This window comes from Homo sapiens, chromosome 2, assembly GCF_000001405.40.
Source record: "Homo sapiens chromosome 2, GRCh38.p14 Primary Assembly".
Classification (NCBI taxonomy): Eukaryota; Metazoa; Chordata; class Mammalia; order Primates; family Hominidae; genus Homo; species Homo sapiens.
In genome coordinates, this window is record NC_000002.12 from 107,789,096 (window position 1) to 107,810,324 (window position 21,229).

The 21,229-nt window shown below is 39.9% G+C and overlaps 1 long non-coding RNA gene across 2 annotated transcripts in view; it reads left to right on the forward strand.

Moving 5' to 3' along the window:
• GACAT1 (gastric cancer associated transcript 1) overlaps nt 1-21,229 on the forward strand; it is a 68,018-nt gene that overhangs the window by 34,984 nt on the left and 11,805 nt on the right. The gene's annotated exons all lie outside the window — the stretch shown is intronic.

Genomic DNA, 21,229 nt, shown 5'->3' on the forward strand with positions numbered 1-21,229 from the left:
CACACCACACTTCAACAGGGGAGTGCCTGATGAGAAAAGAGTATTAAGTAAGGTCTGGATTCATATAATATAATATTAAATATCTAAAGTGTCCAAATCACTTATATATGATAAAGACTAGTATTTAGATTATATAAAAATCTCTCAAACCTCAACAGTAAAAAAATACTATTATCTTGGAAATTCACTCATACTAAGAATCATAAAAATTAAAATATGAATGAGATAAGACAATCAGCTGAATCAGATGTTGGGATTATGACAAGGATTTTAATGCAGCCATGATAAAAAAGCTTCAGTAAGAACCAAAGCCCTGTGTGCTACTGAAGTACTCCTCCTATCTACAAGAACAGAGTGCACATTCTTCTCCAGTACATATGGAACATTCTCTAATAGAGATCGTAAAACCAGTCTCAAAAAATGTTAAAAGATTGCAGCCATAAAAAAATCTCCAAAGATAATGGAATAAAGATAGAAATAATAACAGTGAGAAAATTGGGAAATTCACAAAAATATGGGAAATGTACAACAGAATATTAAACAACCAATACATCACAGAAGAAATCACAAGGGAAATTATAAAATACTTTGAGATGAGTGAAAGAAAGAGAATATACTGAAATTAATAAGATGCAGTGAAAGCATTGCTCAGAAGGTAATTTATAAATGTAAATGGTTGCATTTAAAAAGATGATACAACTGATTTTACAGAAATAGAAAGACTATAAGGAATACTATAAGCAAGTATATGCCAGCAAATTTGATAATCTTCATGAAATGGATACATTCCCAGAAACATACAACCTACCAAGACTGAAATAGAAAATATGAACAGACTTATAAATAAAGTAAGGAGATTGAATCACTCATCAAAAACCTCCCAACAAAGAAAAGCCCAGAACCAGATGGCTTCACTGGTGAATTCTACCAAACACTTAAAAAAGAACTAACAACAATCATCTTCAAACTCTTTCAAAAAATTTAACAAAGAGAGCGCACTGCCAAACCTATTCTATGAGGACATCATTACTGCAATACTAAAGCCAGACAAAAACATTACAAGAAAAGAAAACTATAGATCAATCTCCCTGATAAATATTGAAGCAAATATTCTCAACAAAATACTCTCAAATAGAATTCAACGGCACATTGAAAGGATACACCATAAACAAGTGTGATTCATTCCTGAAATGCAATATTTCAACATATAAATATCAATCAATACAGCACACCAAATTAACAGAATTAGGAGAAAAAAACCACATGATTATCTGAATAGATGCAGGAAAGTCATTAGATAATAATCAACATACATTCATGATAAAATCACTCAACAAACTAGGAATATCAGGAAACTACCTAAATATAACAAAGGTCATATGTAAACAGCCCTATATTAGTCTGTACTCACATTGGTATGAAGACATACGTGAGACTGGGTAATTTATAAAGAAAAGAGGTTTGATTGACTCACAGTTCCACATGGCTGGTGAGGCCTCTGGAAACTGACAATCATGGCGGAAGGCAAGGGGGAAGCAAAGTATATCTTACAGGGTGGCAGGTGAGAGAAAAAGTGTGAAGGGGGAACTGCCAAATACATAAAACCATCAGATCTCGTGAGAACTCACCATCAGGAGAACAGCAACCACCCCCAGGATAAAATCACTTCCCACCAGGTCCCTTCCTTGACACGTGAAGATTACAATTCAAGATGAGATTTGGGTACGGAACAGAGACAAACCATATCAAGCTCACAACTAACATTATACTAAGTGGTATAAGACTAAAATTATCTAAGATCAGGAAAAAGACAAGGATGCCTGTTTTTACTAGTTCTCACGTGAAGGTTTTACTTAGAGTATTTAGACAAGAAAAAAGACATCCCAATTGGAAAGGGATGAGTAAAATTATCTCTGTTTGCAGATGACATCATCTTATATGTACAAAACCATAAAGAATTCACACACACACACACACACACCTATTAGAACTAATAAACACATTCAGCAAAGTTTTGGGGTAGAAAATCAACATGCAAAAATCAGTTGTGTTTTCCATACAATCAATAGCCAACCAAAAAAGGAAATTAAGAAATTTTAACTTACTTCAATTTAAAATAACATCAGCATAAATGAAATACCCAGGAATAAACTTAACCAAGGAGATAAAAGACTTGTAAACAGAAAACAACAAAGTGTTGCTGAAAGAACTTAAAGATGCTACAAACAAATGAAAATACATGCCCTGTTATAGGCTAGAAGACTTAATATTATTGAAATGTCAGTATTATCCAAAGCAATCTACAGATGTAATGCAATCTCTATCAATATTCCAACAGCAGTTTTTGCAAAAATAGAAAAATCTGCCCTAAGATTTGTATGGAATCCCAAGGGACCCTAAATAGCCAAAACTATCTTTAAAAATGAAAGGAACTAAGTTGGAGGTTTCACATTTCCTGATTTCAAAACTTATTATGAAGGTATGGTCGTCAAAACAGTATGGTGCTGGCAGAGGCACATAATTATACACATAAAGAAATACACCCTCACATATATAGCCAAATGATTTGCAACAGGTTTGCCAAGACCATCCTGCTGAGAAAGGACAGTGCCTTTAAGAAATGGGGTTGGGAAGACTGGATATCCACAAAAGAATGAAGGTGAATTTCTCCTACCTTATACCACACTATATCATATACACAAATTAACTCAAAATGGATCAAAGGCCTAAATTAAAGACCCAAAACTGTAAAACTCCTAAAAGAAAACATAGGGGAAAAGCTGTATGACATTGTACATTACAATAATTTATCGTATATGACACCAAAAGAACAGAGAACAAAAGTAAAAATAGAAAAATTGGACTACATCAAAATTAATAACTTCAGTGCAGCAAAGGAAATAATCAACAGAGTGAAGAGGCAACCTACAAAATGGGAGAAAATATTTGCAAATATATATTTGACAAGGGATTAATATCCAGAATATATTAATAACTACTACAATTCAACAACAACAAAACAAATAATCTTATTTTAAAATGAGCAAAAAACTTGAATAGATATTACTACAAAGAGAATATATTATGGCCAATAAGCATGTAAAAAGATGCTCAATATCACTGATCATTGGGAAACTGCAAATAACAACCAGAATGAGAAACAAGCTCGCACTAATTAGAATGGCCACTACCAAAAAGTGACAATGAAGAGAAAATAACAAATGTTGACTAAAATGTGGAGAAATAGAAAAACGTGTACACTGTTAGTGGACATATAAAATGGTGCCACCACATCACTCTAGAAAATAGGATGGTAGTTACTAAAAAAATTAAGAATAGAATAACTATAAGATCCATCAACCCTACTTCTGGGTATATATCCAAAATAATTCAAAGCAGGCTCTGGAAAAAACATTTGCACACCCATGTTCACTGCAGCATTATTCAAAATAGCCAAAGGTGAATGTCCATCAATGGATGAATGGGTAAGTAAAATATAGTATATACACACAATGGAATATTCTCCAGTCTTAAAAAAGAAAGAATGAAATTCTGACACATGCTACGGCATCGGTGAACTCCAAGGTCATTATGCTAAGTGAAATAAACCAGTCACAAAAAGACAAATACTGTGTAATTCCACTTCTATAGGGTACCTAGAGGAGTTAAATTTATAGAAACAGAAAATAGAATGGAGGTGGCCAGACACTGAGGGGAGAAAATAGAGTTGTTTAATGGATATGGAGTTTCAGTTTTTCAAGATGAACATACTCTGGGGATTGGTCACACAACAATGTGAATAAACTTGAAACTACTGAACTATACACTTAGAATAATTAGCATGGGCCAGGCGCGGTGGCTCATGCCTGTAATCCCAGCATTTTGGGAGGCTGAGGCAGGTGGATCACCTGAGGTCAGGAGTTTGAGACTAGCCTGGTCAACAAGGAGAAACCCCATCTCTGTTAAAAATACAAAAATTAGCCGGGCATGGTGGCACCCGCCTGTAGTCCCAGCTACTCAAGAGGCTGAGGCAGGAGAATCGGATGAACCCGGGAGGCGGAGGTTGCAGTGAGCCAAGATCGGGACATTGCACTCCAGCCTGGGTGAGAAGAGCGAAACTCTGTCTCAAAAAAAAAAAAGAAAAAAAGAAAGAAAGAACGAAAAAAGAAATATTTAGCATGGTAAATTTTATGTTATATGTTTTATTTTTATCACAATTAAAAATGAAATTAAACTGCTTGGGGAAAAGACAACATATTTCAAATTCTCAAATTATAACCAAGCTTTAAACCTTAAGAAACTAGATTGTACTTAATGGTAAATTTTGTGTTGCATGTTTCCACCATAATATTAAAATAAACCAAATGTAAATTCTAAAACTAAAATGTATAATTTGAAAAACTGAAAAGGCAATAGCTCACTGGATGGGCTCAATAGTAGAGCAGAGACGAGAGAGAACAGAGTCAGTAAACTTGAGGAGAGATCAATAGAATTTACTCAGTCTGAACAACAGAGAGAAATACAGTGAAAATCATGAACCTATGACAATAGCAGGAGAGCTAACTTCCATACCATTGGAGATCTAGGAGAAGAAATAAAGCAAGACACAACAGAGAGTGAAAAACAGTTCTTAAAAAATTACATAGAAAGGCACAGGCTTTAGAATAGCCAGAACAATCTTAAAAGTAAGAGTAAAATGAAAGGAATCACTCTCCTCAATACTAATGTCTATTATGTAGTTATCATAAACAAAACAATGTGGTATTAGTGGACACGTAGACACATAAATCAATGGAACAGAGTAGAAAGCTAAGAAGTACACCCACAAAAATATGCCCAGCTCTTTTTTTTGACAAAAGTACTAAAACAGTCCCAAGCGTAAGGAGCTAGAATAATTGGACATCCATAAGCAGGAAAAAATAATGAAACTCAACCAAAACTTTATACAAATAAACTTTATACAAATAAACTTTACATCTTATAAAAATAAAAATTTTCATATATATGAAAATCCTTGGGAGCTAGGGCAAGACAAAGAGTTGATAAACTTGGCACTAAAAGCACAGTCCTTAATAGAAAATATTAATAAATTGAACCTTATCAAAAGTTAAAACTTTGCTCTGCAAAGACTGTGGGGAAGATGAAAAGACAAGCTACAGATGTAGGGGAAATATTTATAGACCACATATTTGAGAAAGACTTGTATGGAGATTATCTAACAAACACACAAACTCAGCAACAATAAACAAACAATATGATTAGAAAATGGGCAAAAGACATGGGTACGCATTTCACCAAAGAAGATATGCAGAGGGTACATAAGTACAAGAAAAAATGTTCAACATCACTGGCCACTAAGGAAATAAAATGACATATCACTACACACTGCTATCAGAATGGCTAAAATAAAAAATAATAATAAAACAGTGAAAACACCAAAGTCCGGTGAGAATGTGGAAAAGCTGAATCATTTACACAATCACTGGTGGGATTACAAAATGGTAGAGCCACTCTGAAAAATGTTTATCAGTTTCTTATAAAACTAAACATCCAATTACCACATGTCCAAGAAATTACAATTTTGGGCAGATATCCTAGAGAAATGAAAATTTATATTTACACAAAATCTTTCTATGCATGTTCATTACAGCTTTAGTTTTAACAGCAAAAGAAGGTAAACAACTCAGATGTTCTTCAATAGGTAAAAGGTTAAAAAACCTATGGGACATCCATACCATGAAATGCTACTCAGCAATAACAGGAAACACACTATTCATCTCCAGAAAATTATACTAAGTAGAAAAAGCCAATCCTCAAAGGCCACCTATGTATCATTTTATTTTTATAACAAGTTTGAAATGACAACATTATGGACATAGGAAACAGAATCACGTTGCCAATGGTGGGATAGTGGGATGAGGAGGGAGCGGGTTTAGCTATAAAAGAATAACATCAGAGGAGATTGGGCATGTTCAGGGTGGTATGTCCCGTAATCCCAGCACTCTGGGAGGCCAAAGCGGGTGGATCATCTGAGATCAGGAGCTCGAGACTAGCCTGGCCAATATGGTTTAACTCTGTCTCTACTAAAAATAGAAAAATCATCCGGGCGTGGTGTCATGCACCTGTAATCTCCGCAGTAATCCCAGCTACTCGGGAGGCTGAGGCAGGAGAATCACTTGAACCTGGGAGGTTGCAGTGAGTCAAGATTATGGGGGAAAAAAAGAATAACATGAGTGATCCTTGCCATGATAGAATGTTCTGGTTGTGATGTTTTACTATAATTGTGCAAGATATTTGCATAAGAAATAAAGGGGGCAGAGGTTCTCTTATTTCTTCCAACTTTATGTGAATCAGTAATCTCAAAGGAAAGTTTTAAATAAAAAAGGAAAGCTTACATTAATGGGTCCCACATTTTTAAAATTATGGTAAAAGATATGTAACCTACAAAATGGGAGAAAATAAGTAAGTGTTGAAAGCATATGAACAGACACTTCTCAAAAGAAGACATTTATGCAGCCAAAAAACACATGAAAAAATGCTCACCATCACTGGCCATCAGAGAAATGCAAATCAAAACCACAATGAGATACCATCTCACACCAGTTAGAATGGCAATCATTAAAAAGTCAGGAAACAACAGGTGCTGGAGAGGATGTGGAGAAATAGGAACACTTTTACACTGTTGGTGGGACTGTAAACTAGTTCAACCGTTGTGGAAGTCAGTGTGGCGATTCCTCAGGGATCTAGAACTGGAAATACCATTTGACCCAGCCATCCCATTACTGGGTATATACCCAAAGGACTGTAAATCATGCTGCTATAAAGACACATGCACATGTATGTTTATTGCGGCATTATTCACAATAGCAAAGACTTGGAACCAACCCAAATGTCCATCAATGATATACTGGATTAAGAAAATGTGGCACATATACACCATGGAATACTATGCAGCCATAAAAAATGATGAGTTCATGTCCTTTGTAGGGACATGGATGAAATTGGAAACCATCATTCTCAGTAAACTATCGCAAGAACAAAAAACCAAACACCGCATATTCTCACTCATAGGTGGGAATTGAACAATGAGATCACATGGACACAGGAAGGGGAATATCACACTCTGGGGACTGTTGTGGGGTGGGGGGAGGGGGGAGGGATAGCATCGGGAGATATACCTAATGCTAGATGACGAGTTAGTGGGTGCAGTGCACCAGCATGGCACATGTATACATATGTAACTAACCTGCACAATATGCACATGTACCCTAAAACTTAAAGTATAATTAAAAAAATAAAAATAAAAAAATAAAAAGTAAAAGCACAACTATATGCAGAAAAAATAAAATAAAATAAAATAAAATGTATCATTTTCCCATTTTTAAGTGCATGACTCAGTGGCATTAAGTACATTCACGTTGCTGTGTGACAATCACACCCTCCATCTCCAGAACTCTTTCATCATCCCAAACTAAAACTGTCCTCATTAAACAACACTCTCAATTTCCCCCACCTCCCAGCCCCTGGAACCAACACTTCACTTTCTATTTCTATGAATCTGACTACTCTAGGCATCTCATGTAAGTGGAATATACAATATTTGTCCTTTTGTGACGGGCTTACTCCACTTAGCACAATGTCCACAAGGTCCATCCATGTTGTAGCATGTGTCAGCATTTCCTTCCTTTTTTACTTTGGAATATTATTCTATTGTATGTTTATCCATAATAGGTCCTATGTGTTTGAGTGTTTAAGTCTTCATCCCAAAAAACAGCTTTAAAAACTGATTCATAAACAGTGCAATTTACCCTGGTAGGAAGAGATGAAATACTGTCAGACACCAGAGAGGGGCAATAACTCACTGGCTTTAGTTTATTTGCTTTCTGGTAGATCCCCAGAAACTGCCTGAAAAGCATGAAAGCCAGTGCCTAACATGCCAGCAGGTGCTTGGAAGCCTGAAAGAAATAGGCAGTAAGTAGAAAACCCAGGAGCCATGAGAGTCAAATAAAACAGGGGCTCAGGGTTCCAAACGGAAGCTCAAGTTTAGCAGCCAAATAAAAGTATCAGATATCTGGCAGTGACATAAATACTGCAAACTTAGTCTTATGGCCGGGCGCGGTGGCTCACACCTGTAATTCCAGCACTTTGGGAGGCCGAGGTGGGCAGATCACGAGGTCAGGAGTTCAAGACCAGCCTGGCCAACATGGTGAAACCCTGTCTCTACTAAAAATACAAAAATTAGCTGGGCATGATGGCACGTTCCTATAATCCCCAGCTACTCAGGAGGTTGAGGCAGGAGAATTGCTTGAACCAGGATCTGGGAAGCAGTGGTTGCAATGAGCCAAGATCGCGCCACTGCACTCCAGCCTGGGCTACAGAGTGAGACTCCGTCTCAAAAAAAGTAAAAAATAAAAATAAATAAATAAATAAATAAAACACCAGCAAGAAAAATTAAAATGATGCATAAAATATAGAACTAAATACAAAAATTCCATATTAATTCTAGCTCTTCACAAGCAGAAGGGAAGATTGCAGAAAAATGGTCTGTGATATAAAGATTAACATGATGTTCAGGAAGAGAAACTTCAATACCTGCTGATGACTTTTTATGTAGCAACCAGGGGTACTGTGAAGCTTCCTCAGGCCTGGAGTAAGCATTGTTTAATAAGCAAAAGTCGGCCAAGCCCAGTGGTTCCACCTGTAATCCCAGCACTTTGGGAGGCTGAGGCAGGTGGATCACTTGAGGTCAGGAGTTTCAGACCAGCCTGGCCAACATGGGGAAACACCATTTCTATTGAAAATACAAAAATTAGCTGGGCATGGTGGTGCTTGCCTGTAATCTCAGCTACTTGGGAGGCTGAGGCATGAGAATCACTTGAACCCAGGAGACGGTGAGCTGAGATTGCACCACTGCACTCCAGCCTGAGCAACAGAACAGACTCTGTCTCAGAAAAAACTACAAAACTAAAAGTGGCTTCCTGTGGCTGACTCTTCACACATTAGACCTCATTTGATCCTTTTTTAAAACACAATTATGTCAATTTCCTTCCCATTTTAAAAATGGGACATTCAGACATAGAAAATTGAATAACTTGTTAAGAGTTGTTATCTGACATTTTCTTAGCGTTAAAATGTAACCATGATTAGGAGATCCAAGAATATAAAATCCTAGTTTAGCCCACAATTCCACCTCATGGTGAGTTCCTGAGGGAAATGTATGTGTCCAAAAAGGATAACAGGCAGGAAGCAAAGGCATCAGAGGGCCCTGGCCCTGTCCCTCAGTGCAGGGGATCCTCCAGCCCATGAGGGAGGCAGGACATCAGGGCCACTCCTCACAAGCCTTAAACAGCACCCACACAACTGGGCCCTACCCTGAATATAGGAATCTAATAAATGTCCTGAGCAGGCAGAAGTCGAATTACAGGAGAGTTCAGGGATGTGTACAAATAAGGAAAAAAAAATGGCTTGGCCTCCTTCCAGTGAGGAAAATAATCTGGGTCAGCTTTGGCCTTGACCTCCTGGGTGGCAGAAGACAAAGGATGAGCATGGACAATGTGGTGGAATCCTCAACAAATGGGGACTGTACCCATGGTTAACTGAAGCCCAAACAGTGTCCTAGCATCATTGCAAGCATCAGGCTTCCCAGGTGATGAGGCTAGTGAGAGAGATGGGGAGGATGAAGGAAGCTGGTAGGCAGTGTTCCCTCCCTGGACCTTGAAGACATGGATGCATGATGAAGACATCATAGGCGCTGGCGGGCTGGCCTCAGCTGGGGGACAGCAAAGCCCACACACCAAGCATCTCTGTCAGTTTCAGTCTTTTTGAGTTAACTCCTTCAGGCCCTGGACAGTGGCCAGGAGCAAGATCTCAGGAGTTACAGATGGAAACCCTCCTTGGCTTTATGCGAGACAGAGAGGGCGTAATGTATCTCCTTGGCCCAGGAGCCTACTTTCTATGGATCATTAAAGGGATCTATTTGGGCTAAGGGCAAGTCTCACCCTTCATACACCTGACCTGCTCAGCCTGCAGGTGGGCTTGTGAGATGGACCAAGATCTGACCATGCATAGGGAATGGGAGTGGGCTGCCAGGGAAGGAGGCAGCACAGAGGCCTTCTCCCTCCTGGAGTAAAACAGTCTAAACCCTAGTAACGTCATCCATGGCTCAGGGGGAGGGCATGGCCCCTAGGTCCAGAACACTTGCAACATGTTATGGCTTTCATGGAAAGGTAGTAGAGTGAGCTGTGATTCTTAATGCACCTCTACTGTGAATAGTGTTTGGTGGTCATGAATTTTAAGAAGCAATCCATAGGGCTTCATTGAAGAAAAGATGCTCTGATGATATTTTCCATCTAAAACCCCAATGCCCCAGACCTGAAAGTAGCTATACATGAGTGGCTCTTCACACATTTTATCTTCTTACTTTTTATAAAAACCCAGTGAAAATAGCATTATCTCATCTTTAAAATGAGGAAATCAGGATTACAGTGTGAGGCTGACGTTAGTTGGCCCACTCAGAAAGGCAGGCTGGACCATTTGCTCCCAGCTGGCAGACCAGAAGCAGAGCTCACACTCCCTTCTCCTCGGTGGAAGGAGTTTGTGATCAGTTGCTACGGGAGAAGGAAAGAAAAGATGCTGCCATGGCTTTGCTTGTCTAGAACCCTGAGGTTCCCAAGGGAAGTATTTATGCACCATTTCACTTTATCCTCACAAGAGGATAGCCTCACCTGTAAGATAACTGAGTATATGTTGTTTCTAGTTTAACAGCTAATTACATTGGGGCATAGGGAACTTCAGTAACTTCCTGAAGGCTGGTTTCCTGTGGAGCATGTAGAAGTAGAATCTCCAGCTGGGCATGACCACCATGGTAGCACCTCAAGCTGCAGGGGCAGAAGGAGGCACAGGCTATGAAAACTCATCACCATTAAAGAGAGCACAGGGCCACTGAGTTAACAAAGCAACATTCTAAGAACAAAGCTAGATAAGTGGGAAAGGACTTTGTTAAATCTGCTAGAGTAGTTTGTCATGCAGACCGCCAAGTGCCTTCATTCAGCAGGTTGAGATCAGCCAGCTTGAGGACCACTGGCACCCACCCTCATTGCAACTTTCCCCAAAGGCAAAGACCGAGACTTCTTTTCTGTACTCACAGAATTGATATTACTGATTACTATTTAAGAGTTTGATGTTCAATAAATATTGAACAATATCAATAATTATAAACCTAATTCACACAGGTGTAGAAGTATGAATACTAGCACAAGAATATTTGTTGTTATTGAAACTTGGTATCTTGTCTGAGTAATGGTAAGATGTGCTGAAGGCTGCATAAAATTCAAAGTTAAGAAGTATAACTGGGTTTATTAGCCAGGCTTGGTGGCAGGTGCCTATAGTCCCAGCTACTCAGAAGGCTGAGGCAGGAGAATGACGTGAACCTGGGAGGCGGAGGTTGCAGTGAGCCAAGATCATGCCACTGCTACCACTGCACTCCAGCCTGGGCAACAGAGCGAGACTCCATCTCAAAAAAAAAAAAAAAAGTATGACTGGGTTTAAAGAGTTACGCAACATCTTAAAAAAATAGCAACACTCTCCCAAACAGTTTCCAATGACATCTATACAAACAAAGAATAAGAAAAAAATTTTCTCACCTTATCCTCTGTGTTCTTTCATAATACACTTTTATTTTGAGCTTAGCTAATGCAAATCAGAAATTCACTGTTGAAAATCCCACAACGAATACCCTTTATAAAATACCACATTGACTTAGGTAGAATCCTCTTGGCCCCATCTCCTCTCATCAGACTGAGGCTATTAAAAGTTGTTCAGACTGACCTCTTACAAAGACAGCAATTTCTAGGGAAGAAACTCCCTGTGACAATTCATGTCTTTGCACATTTCTGGGAGATGTCATTTTCTCAGGCAAGAAAAAGGTATTCTGTCATCTAACATGAGCTTCCTATCTGAGAAGTGATTTAACAGCCTTTCTTTCAAATCTACTAATAGCGGCTGCTCCCCATGCACATTTTATTATAAATACTTGAATTACAGACAGATAGTGAAAGGACATGATTTTCTTGCTTCTTTTTACCAGAATGATTAGTACAGTAAAAGGTCTGGAATTAAGTGGACGTCTACAGGGTTACTGCAGGTTAATTTCTACCCCTCTGAAAATTGTTTGAATTTGCTTTGATTTCAGCACTTCCTTTAGAGAGAATTTCCTGGATGTAAGCATCTGCGGACATAGCATGGTCTACATATTTGCAAGTGTCATAATTTTGTCTGCTTGTGAACTGTGCCTATCACTTATACCTGCCCCCACTTTGACTCTCACCTGCACTGAAGTTAATGGTTAATGATAAACACAGTTCAATTCCTTAATTGTGTTAATTTTTAATTATATATGTATAACAAACAACTCTAACCTACACAAATGAAATCTGCATTCTGAAAGTGGAAATATTTGTGTAACAAAGGATAATGAATGAGTAAGCAAAGTGTGAGCTTGCTGGCCTTGGCCCGTGGTTATTATCACCCCAGCTAGGATTCCCAGTAACCCATCAAACTGCAAGCTGGTGTTGATCAAAGGGATGAATCAGACAGCTGTCTCCATCTTCACCTGGCTCCCGCTGCTGCCAGCCCCACAGCTGCCTTCTTTGTCAATTCTTTCTGTGAGAGAGGCAGGTACCAAACACAGTGGTATCATTGGCCTTGTCAGAGTAGTAAGAATGTGATATGATAGTTTCTGCCTGGAGACAGGAAAACCAAGAGGGTAAAGATCAGATCTTAGGATCAGTCTGTTTATATAGAAACAGATTAAATAATTTAGCTAAAGACACCGCTATTACTAAATCTCAGAGGAATCCCAAAAAGCAAGCTCTCTTCCTCTTTACAATTTTATCCTCAATTATGCCTAGGCTTGGATAGTATCTGATTCATTTCTCATAATGTTATTTATTTTTATTTCTTGTTATTTTAAAATATACTTGTTTTATATTTGACGTTCATATTATTTTTATTATCGAAAGCCCCTGGGGTGACCTGTTGTTTGTTGTTTGTGTTCATTCTTGCTCATTGTGGCCTGTATCCTCATCTGTTTCATAATTTTGGATTGTGAGCACATGTTCAGTAGGGTTGTAAAATGGGAATATATACCACCTGGCTCCAAATACATTGTGCATTTGCTTGTGTAAACATCTCAGTGGGGTTTTCAGCCTTTTATGTTACTTTTACATTTGGAGGGTTTGGGATCATTAAAACAATGTAAATTCAAACTTTTAATCCATCTCTATGGAAGACTTGTGAATCCAAATTTTCTGGGAGGTTATTGATTTTTTTTTCCCCCACCAAGCTTACCATGATAGGTAAGCTTCCACATTCTCTCCCTTTATCAATGCACAGTTTCTTTTTATTTAAGGCTTCCTTTGAGGGTTATCCCTTCCCTCACTTCTGGTTCTAATCTTTCATCTTGATTGGGTACATGATTTACCTTTTTATGTTCCTTAAATGTGTGCATCTTGGCTTGGAAGAATTCCCAGAGCAGCTGTTGTTTGGTGCCCACTGACCACTGTTGTTTGTAATTTTCTCTTTGCTTTTGGCCCTTGGGAATTTCCCTTACTTTCTTACAAGCTTAAGTCTGGATTTAAAAGTGTATTTGTTACATTTTACCTGACATTTCTAGGTGTCAGTAGCAAAAAGGTTTCAGATCACCTAATGGGCCAACTTGCTGTATACAGTAGCCCTACCATCTCTGACCTCACTACCCTCACCCACCCCATCAACACACACACACACACACACACACACACACACACACACACACACTACCCCTACTGCCTCATTTTTACTCAGTGATTTCTGATGGTAAAGTATCCCAGACATAATTCTCATTTATTCAATGACCGACCAGACAGTTCCTTTTTCTGTATCCACTCCCATTTTATAGCTCATTTGTACCTCCCCTGGTGAAGAGCAGGGGAGAGAATTAGATAAGCATTGACAAGTTCCATTTTAACAGGACTAGTAAAAGGTTTCACAGTAGCAAAACTCTAACAGGAGCTTTCTGAGCTCTCTGAAGATCAAGTCATCTGTTTTCCTATTTTTATCTATGAATTATTTAGAACTCACTAAGTTTCAAGTTTAGATAAGCCTCTCAGTGTGTGTGTGTGTGTGTGTCTGTGTCTGTGTCTGTGTGTGTCTATGTACATTTTGTTCACTGCACCTGTCCAAGGGGGAAAAAAATTCTCATTACCAGACCCATGAGAATAGCAGCAGATTATCTTTGCTTTTTTATGCATTGAAGAGAGGGAGAGCAATTTTTATCTCTGGATTGTACAGACATGCCTGGCCTTTAGGAGACTTGTAGAAACAAGGGAATTTCTTTGTACTCTATTTCTAAAGCAACTCGGGGGAAAATGGCAGGCAGGGCACATGTCATGTGCTTGCACTGAGAACAGATCATTAAAAGATGAATATTACCCTCAAGAGTGGTGATCTGGGATCCTGATGGGCCTGCTCTGCACAGATATACTCAGAGGGTTATCGAGGTTTGTGCTGCGGAAGGACAGACAAAAGTCAACTTGTCTCAGCCACAAGAGCTGAAACTGTTTTGGTATGTAATTTGGTTCACAAAAGGCAGCCTGTGTCATCTCCAGAATGGCTGGTCCAGGCTTGATAGACTCTTTTTTTTTAGACGGAGTCTGGCTCTGTCGCCCAGGCTGGAGTGCAGTGGCGCAATTTCGGCTCACTGCAAACTCCGCCTCCCAGGTTCACTCCATTCTCCTGCCTCAGCCTCCCTAGTAGCTGGGACTATAGGTGCCTGCAACCACACCCAGCTAATTTTTTGTATTTGTAGTAGAGACGGAGTTTCACCGTGTTAACCAGGATGGACTCGATCTCCCGAACTTGTGATCCGCCCGCCTCGGCCTCCCAGAATGCTGGGATTACAGGCGTGAGCCACCGCGCCCGGCCGATAGACTCTTTAATGCGTTTCCATTCCACTTCATCCTAGTTCTCATGTCTCTCTTCTGAATCAATGTCAGAGGAGGAACCAAGGCCCAGAGAAGTTAAGCAGTCTGCCCAAGGTTACAGCGACAATAAATGGTGGGACAGTCATTGTTCAACATAATTCTTTCTAGTCTTGAAACACCTTTTGGAGTCTTATTTTTATGTTTTGTTTTGTTTTCTAAATATCCTAATATCCTGTTATTTCTAAAACAATGGTTCTCAAACTTCAGCATGCATGCTCGAGGTTTTCATTCATGTAAACTGATAAATTGTTTTGTTTTGTTTTGTTTTGTTTTGTTTTGTTTTGTTTTGTTTTTAACCATAGGAAACCCAGGGGATTTTAACGCAGATGTATCCATGGAACAGTCTTTGAGATACACTACATTTGTACATTCAAAAAAATAATAAAATAAAAATAAATTTTCATTGACAAATATCAATAAATTAGCCAGAGCACTTCTTGTCTCAAAATAATCATAAAATGTCACAAACAGTTCAATAAATGGTGATTAAAGTAGAAACAAATATGTTTCTTCATCTTGAACAACCAGCTGAGTTTTGATGAGGAACAAATTTCAGTTTTCTTCTCAGTAGTAGCTTGAAGTCTGTACCCATGAGGGTATTTCTGCCATAATTGCTAATATCTAATGTAATTACACACTTAGTAATATATTATAGAGATCCCCTTGGCTTGGCAAGGAGTCAGGAATGGGATTGTTCTTCTTATGAAAATTCCAAGCAGCTTGATCATAAGTAACCTCTACTTGCTTTTCAGGAAAACAATTATATTTGCTATGTGCCTAAAATGAGTTGAAGTTGTAGATACTAAAACCAGTGATCATTAACGGATCACGCAATATGCACCAGGAAGTATATTATATATGCTATCCCATTTCATCTTCACCACAGGACAAGTAGCAGCATTCCTGTTTCATAGATGATGACAGCGAACACTTGCAAAGCCCTCATGTTCCAGGTCTTACTCAAAATGCTTTGTATGTACTAAGTCTTTTATCCCTCACAAAACCCCCATGGCAGATGGGGAGAGAGGTATTCTATTAACATTACCATCTCCATCTTTGCAGAAGAGAAACCAAGGCCCAGGGCGGTTAAGCAACTTGTTCAAGATTACTGAGATAACGCGTGGTGACACAGGCATTCAAACACAGTCTGCCCAGCTCTGGATTCTCTCTCTAACTGGAGAGCTGCTCAGTTAGAAAGAGGAGTGTTGTTCTCAAACCAAAGAGTGCAGCTGGACCACCTGGAGGGTTTGTGAAAGCACAAAGTGCCAGGCCCAGGCCCACAGTTTCTGATGTAGGAACTCTGGCTGGCACTCAGATTTTGTTTCTAATCAGTTCCCAGGCAGCTTAGATGCCACTCCTCCAGCAATCCCACTTTGGGAACCATTGCCCTAGAGTACAGGGCTTATCAGATTTTTTTGATGTTTTTTGAATTCTAGTCTGAAATGACTGCTGATACTGATAATACCCGGAACTGGGCCAAATGTTTTTTTTTTTTTTTTTTTTGAGACGGAGTCTTGCTCTGTCACCCAGGCTGGAGTGCAGTGGCGCAATCTCTGCTCACTGCAAGCTCCACCTCCCGGGTTCACGCCATTCTCCTGCCTCAGCCTCCTGAGTGACTGGGACTACAAGTGCCTGCCACCACGCCCGGCTAATTTTTTTGTATTTTCAGTAGAGATGGGGTTTCACCATGTTAGCCAGGATGTTCTCAATCTCTTCACCTCATGATCTGCCCGCCTTGGCCTCCCAAAGTGCTGGGATTACAGCCACCGCACCCGGCCAATTGGGCCAAATTTTACAGGTTGAGTTCAGAGTCTCCCACAAGGTCACCCTCACTTCATACACCTGCTGCAAGCTTGGGGGGTCCCAGGGCCACCTTTACTTCCTAACCAACTGGATACAAATGGTTCCTGCACCCCCTCTTGTTTAATTATTCACTAAACTGATACGTGAAAAACAGGAAAGTGCCATACTATGTTTACAGTTTTATTGTGGGAAAAAGGATGCAGATCAAGACACCCAAAAGAAGGGTCACATAAGGTGAGGTCTGGGGGATCCCAAATATGAGGCTTCTGGTGTTCTTTCCCCAAGTGGTCAGGTTGCATCACCCTGCCAGCACATCGATGTGTAACAATACACACAGAGTACTGTGAATACTCACCTGGGAAGCTCACCAAGCCTCAGTGTCCTATGTTTTTATTGGGATTTCAATATGTAGTCATGAATGGTTGAATCACTGGCCACATGAATGAACTCTGTCACTCTACAGCCTCCTTGCCTCCCCTGAGTTTAGGCCAATATCATTTGGCACAAAACCCTGATTCTCTAATTCCATGATTGATCTTTCCAGCAGGGGAAGCCGTATCCTAAGTCATCTTCCATCTTCTTAGCATAAACTCTCAGGTCCCACATGAGTAACAAAGGCACTCTTCCCACTCATGAAATCTCAAGGGTTTAGAGGATACCTAGCTGGAATAGGAGACAAAGGCCAGCCAGATTCTTTATCACAGGGAATTAGCCAATGTGAAATCTTTAGCAGCAAGCTAAGAAGTGTCAGATTAACTTGCCCAAAGTTAAAACATGGTACGGGGCAGGAGCAAGACTTATGTCTTTCAGATGCAAAGGGTTGCACTCCTAATTGTTATATTTCCTACCTTCTATTATAGTTTTATCATAGTGAAAATCCAACATAAGGTATCGGTGAAGTAGATGATGGTGGAGGCCTGAGTGAGGAAGGGGAATGTGCAAATCTTGGGAACTGTAAATTGCTACTGCCAGGACTTACACTGAATATTCTTTTTAAAATATTTCTTTCCTATATGCCTCAAAGAATAAATCTTTCTCACTGTTTTTTTTCCTGTCTTAGCAGCGCTAACAACACTGCAACTAGTTAGCACATTACCTGCCAGTTTAATTGCCATCATTATCACCAGCAGATATCCTTCCCGCCCTATTTCACAGCACTGCTATATATAAGTCAAGTGGAGCCCATCTGTGATCTGTGCAGAGTAGGGCCTCCAAATGTTGGTGTGATAGATTCAAGAGCTCATTATGAGTGGCCTATATCTCAAAGTGGCAGCACGCTTTCTCCAGCACAATTATTTTCCCATTAGGTGCCGTGATAAGACATAAATAAAATATAAGGAAGTAATAAAGGCCAACATTTATTGAGTACTTATTGTGTTCCAGGTACTGTGCTTTATATATCTTACCCCATTCAAAGATGATAACCACCACAGGAAGGAAATACTATTATTGTTGTCATTTTCCTAACAAGCAAACAGAAGCATAGAATGGGTAAGAAAAGGGTCAGATGCACCTCTTGTAAATAGAACCAGTGCTTGAACCCATGTGGCGTTGCTCCAGGACACACACCCTTAACCACTATTCCTATGGTCCCAACTAATATAAAAACCTTAATATTGCCATTACTACATACAAACTAATTATCTTCATATTTCTGTTGTTTGTTTCACTAATTATATTCTCTGTCATGTACAAGAGTTTATAATGGAAAAAATGGAAGATGAAAGCAAAAGAGGAACCTATCTACTGCTATTTCTAACAGCTAATACAGTACAGTCTGTCTGTTACACATTTTTCAAAAGTGAGGATTCAAGATAAATTCCCTGGAATTATTCCTAAACAGTGAGGTCCATGGAGACAACAACTGAGCCATATCTGTCTTGCCTGCTGCTATTTCCAAAGGGGCAAACACAGTGTCTGTGAAGGGAGACTTTGTTTTCATTAAAAACAGCATCACACACTATGATACTCTGCATGGAAACTTTTCCAAAAGTGGCACTTTTCCATGATCTTTGTCTGATAATTCCATATCCCCATGAGCTGTGTGTGCCAAGGATACAGTATGGCCAGCACCAAGGACATTAAATTTGGGGTGTTCACATCAGCTGTACTGACAGACTGTGCCACCAAAAGCTGTGGGCACTATCCCTGCCAGGAGCCTCATGTCTGCATGTTCCATCTGTGGCCTGTGGATGGTCAGATGGTCATTTCAATGGCCAGTGTTTAGTGCCTCTTCCTCAGGAAAGCTTTAATGTTTGCTACGGGAAGTTGTTGGAGCATGTTAGTGCGTCGACAGTGATTATTCTGAAACCTGTCAAGTGACTCCGCTCTGTGACATTTGACAAGGGGACTGACTGTGAAATGTGATGCCATGGAGCTCTTCGGAGAAAACACTGATGTGTTTACGGCTCATAAAGAAGTTGTACGTAGCCACAGAGTAGAGGTTTTTGTTTTGTTTTTGTTTTTGTTTTCAGATGGAGTCTTGCTCTTGTCGCCCAAGCTGGAGTCCAGTGGCACGATCTCAGCTCACTGCAACTTCCACATCTTGGGTTCAAGTGATTCTCCTGCCTCAGCCTCTCGAGTAGCTAGGATTACAGGCATCCACCACCACGCCTGGCTAATTTTTGTATTTTTAGTAGAGATGGGGTTTCACCATGTTGGCCAGGCTGGTCTCGAACTCCTGACCACAGGTGATCCACCCACCTTGGCCTCCCAAAGTGCTGGAATTACAGGCCTGAGCCACCGCGCCCAGCCCAGAGTCGAGTTTTATTAGCGGCCGCTGCTGCCAGGTAATATTTTTAGCACAACCCTTTTGAGTCTGTGTTTACATTATGAGGTCATGATGTCTTTTCTAACAATGCTGCTTTATTAACTGTTTGTTTTAGTCCCCTTCTTAGGAATTCATTCCTAGCCTGTCAGTCCATGCCAATCCTGAGTTTGGCTTTTCAAAATGGAAGGATGTCAAAAAAAAAAAAAAATTGAAACGCTGGTTCTATGATAATTAAAGTAAAGCTCACATTGGAAAGCATTTGCTAATGTAGAAATTCAGCAAATACAGCATGTGTTGTCTTTAAATACAGCAATCTGACAGTCGAATGTTCTATTCACTTGGTATTAACAGTCTCTAAGTGTGTAAGACAACGTAGCAGATTCCATGAGGCAGCAACTTGGCAATAAAATGGAATCGGATTCATTCATGCCCTCTGCCTTTCAGCAGAAAATCTGCATGAGCTTCACTGCTCAGCCCAGGGATCGGTTGCGTGGTCAATGTGCCTGGCAGCTGAACTGTGACCTCATGTACCCCTTGGCACTGTTTAATGCAGCCATACTCCATTAGGCTCGCTGCTGTCGTAACAGTCCAGCACTTACAACTAAAGTCAGACATTGTTGTGTGATGACTGGTGAATACTCACTATCTATTTGGCTAATTATAGGCCACTTGTTTTACACAGTGTCATTTACAACACACCATTCATTTTATTCAAAACACTGGGCTTATTGATCTTCTGATGCATGGTTCCTAGTTTAATATTTAGAGGGGTCCTTATGAAGAAACTGGGTCATAAATTGGTTATGCCAGTCACTGCAAGGAAATTCCCCTGTTAATGTTAAGTAAATTGTACCATTTTCCAGATATAGGTGGCCAAGTGGCCTCACTGATACATTTGAAAAAAGTAAGTCCAGCTCAGGGATGGGTATAATTCATCCTGAGCACCATAAAACTTCTCAAAAAAGATATGGACAAAGACATGTCTTGTTAGTGTGAATTACTTTAAATACAATTTTCAGGCTTGAAGCTTCTTGAAATAATGAAGCTTCGGTTTCCACATAATACATAAATAATTATGTTTTCACAAGAGTTCCTGGCACCTAGACTCCAATATGAAATGTAAATACTTGACACAGAAACATGGAGTGTGAGAAGGGCATTTTGCTTGCTTTCTGGAGAATACACCAGAGCCTTAGTTCAGGGAGAGATTTCTGTGGGCTCACAGCTGTCCTTGTGTGCAAAGAACCTGACCAAGACAGAATGGTACTGCAGAAACTCTGTTTAACGGTGTTAGCCTAGTTGAGAGCAGCTGCAGGTAGGAGGGCTGTCTCAAGGGCCCTGTGAGTGGCATTTGGAGGGCAGTGCCCAATCTTGTTCATGGGCTCTGGGACGAGGCTGCACCTGGCCCCAGGCAGAATAGCATGCTTTGTGCAGCTCACCAGAGCTCAGGTAAACAGTCCTTAAGCTGCTCATACAAACTGGTATGCAGTAAAGTTTGGGTGGGCCAGGATATCAACTCAGTTGAATCCCTTGCCCACTGCCCCCGAAAACGCTGCCGTCACAGGTAGCCTCCAGATCTTAGGAAATGCTCCCTTGCTCTGTATAGTTTGTCAAAAAAGGAGGAGCCTTCAGAGCT